Below are 10,469 nucleotides of genomic sequence, written 5' to 3' on the forward strand. Positions count from 1 at the left end.
TAAAGCAGCAAATTTCGTGTTTTCCTATTCCCCTATCCTCCTCATCAGTTTGACATAACAAGCACAGTGTAAAGCCAGGCTTTCAGAAGTACTTATAGGTGGACTTAGTTTAAGGGGAGTCACATAGTTGAGCAAAACCGGAGTCATAGCATAAAATATCAAACCTAAACTAACCCCGTGACCACTTAATATTTTCCTAAACTGACATTTGGTATTCATCGCTTAAAACCCCAAAATCGGCCGGGCGCAGTGGCTCACACCTGTAATCCCAGCACTTTGGGAGGCCGAGGTGGGTGGATCACCTGAGGTTGGGAGCTCGAGACAAGCCTGACTAACATGGAGAAACCCCGTCTCTTCTAAAAATACAAAATTAGCCAGGCGTGGTGGTGGCGCATGCCTGTAATCCCAGCTACTCGGGAGGCTGAGGCAGGAGAATTGCTTGAACCCGGGAGGCGGAGATTGCGGTGAGCCGAGATGGCGCCATTGCACTCCAGCCTGGGCAACAAGAGCAAAACTCCAACTCAAAAACAAAACAAAACAAAACCAAAATCACTGATTAGAGTATATAAAACCACCCAAAACCAGGGGGTTGTTTTGTTTAGCAAAGGACATGGCATTAAATAAAGATTTAAAGAAGTCATGGGCCAGGATATCTAGATTATGAAAGAATTTTATTCCTGTGTTCCAACATTTCTGAAATTTAATGCTTCTTACAATTGACATGTATATTTAACGTGACAATGTTTCTATCTAACTTCTTTTTTTTTTTGAAATGGAGTCTTACTCTGTTGCCCAGGCTGGAGTGCAGTGACGTGATCTCGGCTCACTGCAAGCTCCACCTCCCGGGTTCACGCCATTCTCCCGCCTCAGCCTCCCGAGTAGCTGGGACTACAGCCGCCCGCCACCATGCCCAGCTAATTTCTTTTTTGTTTTTGTATTTTTAGTAGAGACAGGGTTTCACCATGTTAGCCAGGATGGTCTCGATCTCCTGACCTCGTGATCCGCCCGCCTCGGCCTCCCAAAGTGCTGGGATTAAAGGCCTGAGCCACCACGCCTGGCCTGTTTCTTACTTGTTAAAAAAACCTTTATAAATCAATGGTTGTTCATAAAATTGAGGGCCTACTAGGAGTGCTTGTCTAAGCTGGATTCTCCCTAGAAAGCAGGGTCCAGGATAAGAGCTTGCAAGTAATTAATCTTGGGGTGAACTCTGGGCACAGGGATTGGGGGGTCTAGGGAGGGTAAAATAGGAAATTAGGTAAAAACAGTACAAAGGTCCATTAACAAGTTGATTGCATTGGTACTACTGTGAGCAACTGGATGGAGTGGTGGGTAGGGCTAATCCCACTGGCAACCTGTAAGGCAGCACTGTCTAGTAGAACTTTCTGCGATGATGGAAATGTTCTATATCTGCTCTGTCCAACACAGTAGCCGTTAGCCATAGTGACTACTAAGTACTTGAAATATGGCTAGTGTAACTGAGGAATTTTTTACTTAATTTACTTCTAATTAATTTAAACGTGAAGCTAGTTGTTATTATACAGAACAATACAGCTCTAAGGAGTCCTACAGAATTTGAGTTATGAGGTGGGGCACAGAGACGTGCAATATAGTGTTCCTTCTGGAACACTGCAATATAGTGTTCCTTTGTCTGTTTTGTTCACTCATGTGCCCCAAATTCATGGAAGAATTCCTAGTACATAGTGAGCTTTCCAAAAATATTCACTGAATGAATCAATAGCACTTGGGTCCACAAACATGCACATGGCTCCCTTGAAAAGAAAGACTGTATTAGAACAAATTCCATTCAGGTCAAATAGTAAGCAACTATTATGTACAAGAAACAAGTAGTAAAGGGGACTTTGAGAGGACTGAGAGGGCTGAAATGTGGTTATGAAAGAGTCATGCCGGGGACAGTGGCTCACGCCTGTAATCCCAGCACTTTGGGAGGCTGAGGCAGGCAGATCATGAGGTCGGGAGTTCAAGACCACCCTGGCCAACATAGTGAAACCCTGTCTCTACTAAAAATACAAAAATTAGCCGGGCATGGTGGCACACACCTGTAGTCCCAGCTACTCAGGAGGCTGAGGTGGTAGAATCACTTGAATCTGGGAGGTGGAGGTTGCAGTGAGCCGAGATCACGCCACTGCCCTCCAGCCTGAGTGACAGAGCAAGACTCCATCTCAAAAAAAAAAAAAAAAAAAAGAACTTTGGGAGGCCTGAGGCGGGCAGATCACAAGGTCAGGAGATTGAGACCATCCTGGCTAACACGATGAAACCCCGTCTCTACTAAAAATACAAAAAATTAACCGGGCATGGTGGCACATGCCAGTAGTCCCAGCTACTTAGGAGGCTGAGGCAGGAGAATCACTTGAACACCACTGAACTTGAACTCCAGCCTGGGCAACAGAGTGAGACTTCGTCTCAAAAAAAAAAAAAAAAAGAAAGGGCTAAGATGAGGTCCCTGGAGATTCTGATCCAAAGGATATTTACTGGAAGTCAGTTAAATGTTCTACAGTGATCTTGTTTCACAATGTACTTCTGTTATCAATTACTAAGCAACAGCACAGGAAGTAATTCAGTATAATCCTTTGTTTTGATTCTTTGGTTACTGTTACCACAAACAACATGTAACTAAAATTTCAGAAGAGAAGGCCATATTTCCCCACTGTTGCCAATTTTCTAACAGAAACAAAATCTTCATTTTAAGAAGTATTTAAGGCCGGTCGCAGTGGCTCGCGCCTATAATCCCAGCACTTTGGGAGGACGAGGTGGGTGGATCACCTGAGGTCGGGAGTTCGAGACCAGCCTGACTAACATGGAGAAACCCCGTCTCTACTAAAAATACAAAATTAGCTGGGCATGGTGGCGCATGCCTGTAATCCCAGCTACTCGGGAGGCTGAGGCAGGAGAATCACTTGAACCTGGGAGGTGAAGGTTGAGGTAAGACGAGATCGTGCCATTGCACTCCAGCCTGGGCAACAAAAGCAAAACTCCGCTTCAAAAAAAAGAAGTATTTAAGCACCAGATCCTCTACTGAGATCATTAAAGGAGCCCCACTCTAATCTAGACCCTAGAACCTACAGCCATACACAGAGATGGATCTATGTAACTATGTATGTATGTATGTATATATGTATCTATCTACCTACCTACCTATCTGAGACAGGGTCTTATTCTGCTGCCCAAGCTGGAGTGCAGGAGCTTATCATAGATCACTGCAACCTTGAACTCCTGGGCTCAAGGGATCTTCCTGCTTCAGCCTCCTGAGTGTAGGTGGGACTACAGGTGCATGCACAGTACCCGGCTAATTTTTTAATTTTCTGTATCACTATCTATAAAATTTACTAAGCGTTAATCATATGCTTCAACACTTTATGTACATCATCTCATTATTGTTATCCATTTTACAGGTACAGAAACTGAAGGGTTAAATGACTTCTCCCAAATTATACAACTAAAAAGTGCCTGTTTTGCATAGTGTCTTTAAATCTAATACCAGGGCATATTCCAATCTTTAGGAAAACCTAGAAATATGCTCAAGATAGGGGTGTAGCCTTGATTTTCTTACTAACATTTTTTTCCCTATTGGTTCTTATGTATTTCCCAGTGTGTATAATTCAATTATTCTGAACTTGAGAGTAAAAAGTTGGTCACTACAAACTTGATGAAGATTTGTCTGCAACATTATTTAAAATAGGAATAAGGCCACACACGGTGGCTTATGCCTGTAATCTCAGCACTTTGGGAGGCCAAGGTGGGCAGACCTTGGCCCACCTTAGGTCAGAACTCCAGACCACCTTAGGTCAGGAGTTCGAGACCAGCCTGGCCAACATGGTGAAACCCTGTCTCTACTAAAAATACAAAACTTAGCTGGGCATGGTGGTGCATGCCTGTAATCCCAGCTACTCAGGAAGCTGAGGCAGGAGAATGGCTTGAACCCAGGGGGTTCAGTGAGCCGGGATCGCACCATTGCACTCCAGTCTGGGTGACAGAGTGAGACTCTGTCTCAATAAATAAATAAATAAATAAAATTAAAAATAAACTAAAATAGGAATAAACAGTAATAGCAAACATAGGATTTGTACAGCGAAAACAAACAGCAGGTGGCCAGTCGCGGTGGCTCACACCTGTAATCTCAGCACTTTGGGAGGCCGAGGCAAGCGGATCACTTGAGGCCAAGAGTTCAAGACCAGTCTGGCCAACATGGTGAAACCCCATCTCTACTAAAAGTACAAAAATCAGTGGGGCAGCCGGGCGCGGTAATTCCAGCACTCTGGGAGGCTGAGGCGGGCAGATCACGAGGTCAGGAGATTGACACCATCCTGGCTAACATGGTGAAACCCTGTGTCTACCAAAAAATACAAAAAAGTAGCCAGGCGTGGTGGCAGGCGCCTGTAGTCCCAGCTACTCGGGAGGCTGAGGCAGGAGAATGGCATGAACCCGGGAGGCGGAGCTTGCAGTGAGCCAAGATCACGCCACTGCACTCCAGCCTGGGAGACAGAGCGAGACTCTGTCTCAAAAAAAAAAAAAACCGAAAAAAAATTAGTGGGGCATGGTGGTGGGCACCTGTAATCCTAGCTACTCAGGAGGCTGAGGCAGGAGAATAACTTGAAGCCGGGAGGCAGAGGTTGCAGTGAGCCGAGATACTCCAGCCTGGGTGAACAAGAGACTATCTCAAAAAACAAATGAACAAACAAAACCAGCAGGCAAGGGATTCTGCTGTTTTAAAGCACTTCATAGATTTAAAATGAGGACAGTTTATATCAGAGATTTTGGGCTTTGTCCCTGAAAGATGGATAAAGTGTGTTTGGTTATAACGTGAATTTATTTCTTCATTCTTACCTTACTCCAAGATTTTCAAAACGAGACTCATCAAGACAAGGCAGTAATGCGCCTGTGATTTCATTTTCTATGGAAGAAAAAAGACAAATTCAATGTATACAACATATGCTTTTCATTTTCTTTCAATTTGGATACACCAACATTTACCCAGATCCACATAAGTGAGTACCCACTGCAGGCAATGGATTGTGCCAAGTACCACTTTTTTGATCTGCTACTTGTAAAGACTTAATTTTAATTAAATAACTAAACCAAGAAGCATTTTTTGATAAATCACGTGAAAATTTCAAAATTATTTGTGTAAATTAGTTCCAAGAAAAACCAGTTGCAAAAAGGAAAGTGAAACCCGACTACCTGTTGGGGTTTTGCCAGGTCAGCAGCTTTGAGTTGGGGAGGGAAGGAAACCTAAGTCTATTGTTCTTAGAATTAACAAGGTTTGAGTTGGGGAGGGAAGGAAACCTAAGTCTATTGTTCTTAGAATTAACAAGTTAAAACCGTGAATTCAAGAGTGCTTAAAGTGTTGATTTTTCTCAAACCTCCTGGGAAAGCACTCAATACTCTGATTTGGAAGAGGTGTGTGTGTGTGTGTGTGTGTGTGTGTGTGTGTGTGTGTCCTGGGAAAGCACTCAATACTCTGATTTGGAAGAGGTGTGTGTGATTTGGAAGAGGTGTGTGTGTGTGTGTGTGTGTGTGTGTGTGTGTGTCCTGGGAAAGCACTCAATACTCTGATTTGGAAGAGGTGTGTGTGTGTGTGAGTGTGTGTGTGTGTGTGTGTGTCCTGGGAAAGCACTCAATACTCTGATTTGGAAGAGGGGTGTGTGTGTGTGTGTGTGTGTGTGTGTGTGTGTGTGTGTTGTTGGGTTTTTTCCTTTCTCTTTCTATACAATTAATTCTAATCTTTCCTGACCTCAAATTCCAGAACTCTGGACTATTTTCTTTTATTTTCTTTGAGACAGGGTTTTGCTTGTTGCCCAGGTTGGAGTGCAGTGGTGCGATCACATCTCACTGCAGCCTTGACCTCCTGGGCTCAAGCGATCCTCCTGCCTCAGCCTCCTGAGTAGCTGGGACCACAGGCATGTGCCACTGCACCTAGCTAATTTTTATTTTTATTTTTTGTAAAGTTGAGGTCTCCTGATGTTGCCCAGGCTGGTCTTGAATTCTTGGGCTCAAGTGATCTTCCCACACTGGCCTCCCAAAGTGCTGGGATTATAGGTATGAGCCACTGGGCCAGGCCTCCAGTGGTTTTTGATGAGAATACTTGTTAAGGTATAGATCACATGAGTTCTAGAGTCCAAAGACCTAACCTTAAAAAATCTAGCTCTTTTTTGTAGTGGTGTGATCTCTGAAAAGTTACTTTACATCTTTGGACCTCGCATACATCATCGGTAAAATGTGTTGAGTGTAGTAACTTATTTCAGACTTCTTGTGAGGCTGTATTCCATAATGAGAAAAGGGACACTGTACCTTGTGCTTGGCTTATCAAATTAAAAAAAAAATGGACTTAGATAAAGAGAGACTTTTTTTTTCTTTTCCGAGATGGAGTCTCACTCGGTCGCCCAGGCTGGAGTGCAGTGGCGGGATCTTGGCTCACTGCAACCTCCGCCTCCCAGGTTCAAGTGATTCTCCTGCCTCAGCTTCCCAAGTAGCTGGGACTACAGGCACATACCACCATGCCCGGCTAATTTTTGTATTTTTAGTAGAGACGGTGTTTCACCATGTTGGCCAGGCTGGGCTTGAATTCCTGACCTCAGGTGATCTACCTGCTTCGGCCTTCCAAAGTGCTGGGATTACAGGCGTGAGCCACCGTGCCCGGCCAAGAGAAACTTTATTAGAAAGAAAGACTATTGCTGGTCGGGCGTGGTGGCTCACACCTGTAATCCCAGCACTTTGGGAGGCCAAGGCGTGTGAATCATCAGGTCAAGAGATTAAGACCATCCTGGCCAACATGGTGAAACCCCATCTCTACTAAAAATACAAAAATTAGCCAGGTGTGGTGGTGGGCACCTGTAGTCACAGCTACTCAGGAGGCTGAGGCAGGAGAATTGCTTGAACCCGGGAGGCAGAGGTTACAGTGAGCCGAGATCACACCACTGCATTTCAGCCTGGCGACAGAGCGAGACTCTGTCTCAAAAAAAAAAAAAAAAGAAAAGAAAAAAAGAAAAGAAAAGAAGAAAGACTATTTCTACAGGGAGAAAGCTCCAATATCAGATATCTGCAAGAGGCTCAGGAATCAAACACATAGGCCGGCCGGGCGCGGTGGCTCACGCCTGTAATCCCAGCACTTTGGGAGGCAGAGGCGGATGCATCACCTGAGGACAGGAGTTGGAGACCAGCCTGGCCAACATGGTGAAACCCTGTCTTTACTAAAAACACAAAATTAGCCAGGCGTGGTGGCGTGCACCTGTAATCCCAGCAACTAGGGAGGCTGAGGCAGGAGAACCACTTGAACCCGAGAGGCAGAGGTTGCAGTGAGCTGAGATTGTGCCGGTGCACTTCAGCCTGCGTGACAGAGCGAGACTCCATCTCAGAAAAAAAATAAAATAATAAAATAAATTTTAAAAAATAATCAAACAGAGGCCCAAGAACCAAACAGAGGTTGGGCATGGTGGCTCACACTTGTAATCCCAGCACTTTAGGAGGCCGAGGTGGGTGGATGGTCACTCGAAGCCAAGAGTTTGAGACCAGCCTGGCCAACATGGCAAAACCCTGTCTCTAATTAAAAAAAAAAAAAAAATGAGGCCGGGCGCGGTGGCTCACGCCTGTAATCCCAGCACTTTGGGAGGCTGAGGCAGGCGGATCACGAGTTCAGGAGATGGAGACCATCCTGGCCAACATGGTGAAACCCCATCTCTACTAAAAATACAAAAAAATTAGCTGGGCGTGGTGGCACATGCCTGTAATCCCAGCTACTCGGGAGGCTGAGGCAGGAGAATAGCTTGAACCAGGCAGTTAGAGGTTGCACTGGGCCGAGATGGCGCCACTGCACTCCAGCCTGGCGACAGAGCGAGACTCTGTCTCAAAAAAAAAAAAAAAAAAAAAAAAGAATCCAACAGAAAAAGGGTCTTCTTTTATATGATAAAGGACGGGCAAGCAGAAATAAGCAGAATCTTTGGATAGGAACCTGGACGAGCAAGGGAAAATGAGCAGTGTAGCCCAACAGGACAGCATCCTACTGTGGTCAGCCGGTTCTCAAAAGAAACTGACCAGAGGGAGGCATATTCCACTGCTTTAGTGCCTGCCTGGTCAGATCTGGGGGTAAGCAAGAGTTGAGGGGCCCATAAGGGAAGAGAGAAGTCCGAATAAAGTTTGGTCAAGACAAAGCAGAAGCTAAGACATGAGCAATTGGGAACAGTTGGTCAGTTTTTACCAAATGAAAGCACATAGTGTCTTTGATAGCAATAGGTTGTAGGTTTAAGGAACACACATCATTCTGGAGGGTAACGAGTTAATCTACAAACCACTGAAACAGAGAGCCAACCACATTTTGAGACAGAAAATATGGAACTACTTCACTCCACTTGTTGCTAGTCAAAGAAAATAAAGTAATAATCCATCCCAGCAGTGGAGGGAAACGAAAGGGCAAAAGGGGGAAGAAAAAAAAAAAAGGAGAAATGCAATTTCCCATACCCATTCAAGCTATCTTTGGGTCCTGAACCACTAATGTTCCTCCTACCCCAGTTTCCAACCTAGCCAAACAGGGCCCCACCTAACAAATGCAAAAATTTACTAAATTTGCAAATCCCAACCACCAAAGAATCACCTTCCTATTGGACACCTAGAGGATATAAGGCAGGAGTCAAATCTCACACCCACCACAAAAAGTTGAGTAGAATTCACAAGGATGGATGCTTGGATACGAATCAGTAAAATATGATTAAAACTCAACCTAAACACTTCTCCAGGGGATGTGGCCAAACTGTGGCATGCTGGGGATTCAGTGGTCAACTGAACAACCCCAAGGTTCAGATTTTGGAGGGGAACCTGCTTTTAAAGAGCAAAACATGTTCCTTACCATGTTCTGCAAGTGCAGTCAACACACGCCTATCGGGCGCTGCTGGGATGCCAAGGAAGGTGATGGGAATTCAGAGATTAACCAAGCCAGTTCCTTCCCCTTCAGGAAAAGCCTCAATTCAGGGAGGAAACCGAAACCTAAAAGCCCCAGAACATCCTCTGATGTGGCAAGTGTTCAAGGAGCTGCGGTTAGCGCGGAGGGGTCCCGCGAGCCTGGATGACAGCAAGCCGCCCACCAAGGTCTGGGGAAAAATCTCCTTCTAACTAAAAAAAAGGGACCCGAGTCTCGCTTGTCCCGCGCCGGGGTGGCAAGTTAGTGAAGAAACCCACGAGAGTGAGATCCCAATCTACGACTGCCCCTCCCAGGTCCTCAATCCCGGGAGCCTGCTCCCATCCTACGAATCGCCTATCCCAGGCGACCCCATGTCTTCTTCCTCCGCCTCGGGGAGTCAGTCCCGGGAGCCCCATGCCGCAGGCCCTCCTGGGAACCCCCGCCGCAGGGCTCCCTCCCCCGCCTCGGGTCTTCCTTTCCTCGGCGCCCCCAGCGCAGGTCCGCCCTCCCGGGTGCCTCCCGCCGCAGGGCTCGCTCCTCGGCCTCGGTCCTCTCGTGGGGCCCCCTCCCTCAGGGCGCCTGGCCCGCGCCCCAGGTCGCCGCCCTTCGCCCCTCAGCCCCTCCGGAGCCGCTACCTCGGATGTTCTTCAGCAGCACCGGCTCTTCAAAGCCACCGCGCCTGAGGAAGGAGCACACCTGCTCCGGACCCCATGTCTTGTAGTCGGGATGGAGTTCCAGGCCCGGGGACCAGTCTGCCTCTGCGGAAGGGGTGTTTGAGGGGGTTCTCGGGCTGTCATCGCAACGGGGACGCTTGGAGGGCTGCTCGGAATCGGCTCGCTGCATGGCTACACCTGGCGTCCGGCACAGCAGTCAAGAACCTCGGCGCCGGACCCGCGCGCAGGCGCACTGACAGCAGGGCCCTGGCGGGGAGTCCAAGGAGTATTGGCAGCCTATTGGCCTCCTGCGCAGGCTCACTGACAGTTGAGCCCTTCGGGCAGGGCAGCCTAGCGGCTCTTGCCTTGGGCTCCCTGCGCAGGCGCAATGGCAGTCCAGTCGTCCTCAAATCAATCCCGCCAGGGCGCTGGACGTGAACGCGAAAGGGCGTGGCTAGAAGCAGAACTGAGGGCAGTGCTGGTGGAAAGGGGGAGGAAAGAGCGCGCCCGGCACCGCACCCCCAATTAGGGGCTCGTCTAGTGAATTGGGGGTATTCTCCTTCGAATGAGTACACTACCCGCCGCACCTTGGCCGGGTTTCAGATGCCCCAAACTTAAAAGAAGCCTAAAAGGCCGTCAGGCTGCCAGCACCTTCCCAGTGAAGAGGAAAACAGTCAAGGTGCTGAACTGGAAGAACCCGGAATGATTTCAAATGTGACTTGAGGGTGTCTTCATTCCACAGTATTGCTGGTCAACTAGAGGGCCCTGGGATACCTGTTGTCTGGTGTCCACACAGGAGGGGACTTCAGACTTCTTTCCAACTAGAGACAGAGCCCTCCATCCCAACTGCATTCCCAGAGGAAGGAAAGTGGCCAGTCTGATTACTTAAAATTTAACTTCTGAGGACTTTT

General features: G+C 47.3%; 1 protein-coding gene across 3 annotated transcripts in view, besides 2 other annotated features; it reads right to left on the reverse strand.

Moving 5' to 3' along the window:
* The window catches only part of SAMHD1 (SAM and HD domain containing deoxynucleoside triphosphate triphosphohydrolase 1), a 61,936-nt gene extending 52,123 nt beyond the window's left edge, over nucleotides 1–9,813 (reverse strand). For all 3 annotated transcript variants that reach the window (NM_001363729.2, NM_015474.4, NM_001363733.2), the window contains exons 1-2: nucleotides 9,541–9,813; nucleotides 4,843–4,909 (exon numbers count right to left, since the gene is read on the reverse strand). In NM_001363729.2, coding sequence (NP_001350658.1) covers nucleotides 4,843–4,909; nucleotides 9,541–9,748 — 275 coding nt within the window. In that variant the 5' untranslated portion in view covers nucleotides 9,749–9,813. The remainder of the gene's footprint in view (nucleotides 1–4,842; nucleotides 4,910–9,540) is intronic.
* Nucleotides 4,880–5,715: an enhancer, noted in NCBI's record as "OCT4-NANOG hESC enhancer chr20:35575178-35576013 (GRCh37/hg19 assembly coordinates)". NCBI's record gives its function as "activates a minimal SCP1, AML or CMV promoter by ChIP-STARR-seq in naive H9 embryonic stem cells {active_cell/tissue: H9 hESC(naive)}" and the evidence as "EXISTENCE:reporter gene assay evidence [ECO:0000049][PMID:30033119]".
* Nucleotides 9,308–9,527: a silencer, noted in NCBI's record as "silent region_12883". NCBI's record gives its function as "represses an Ori minimal core promoter by ATAC-STARR-seq in GM12878 lymphoblastoid cells {active_cell/tissue: GM12878}" and the evidence as "EXISTENCE:reporter gene assay evidence [ECO:0000049][PMID:35858748]".

Source organism: Homo sapiens, chromosome 20, assembly GCF_000001405.40.
Source record: "Homo sapiens chromosome 20, GRCh38.p14 Primary Assembly".
NCBI classification, from domain to species: domain Eukaryota; kingdom Metazoa; phylum Chordata; class Mammalia; order Primates; family Hominidae; genus Homo; species Homo sapiens.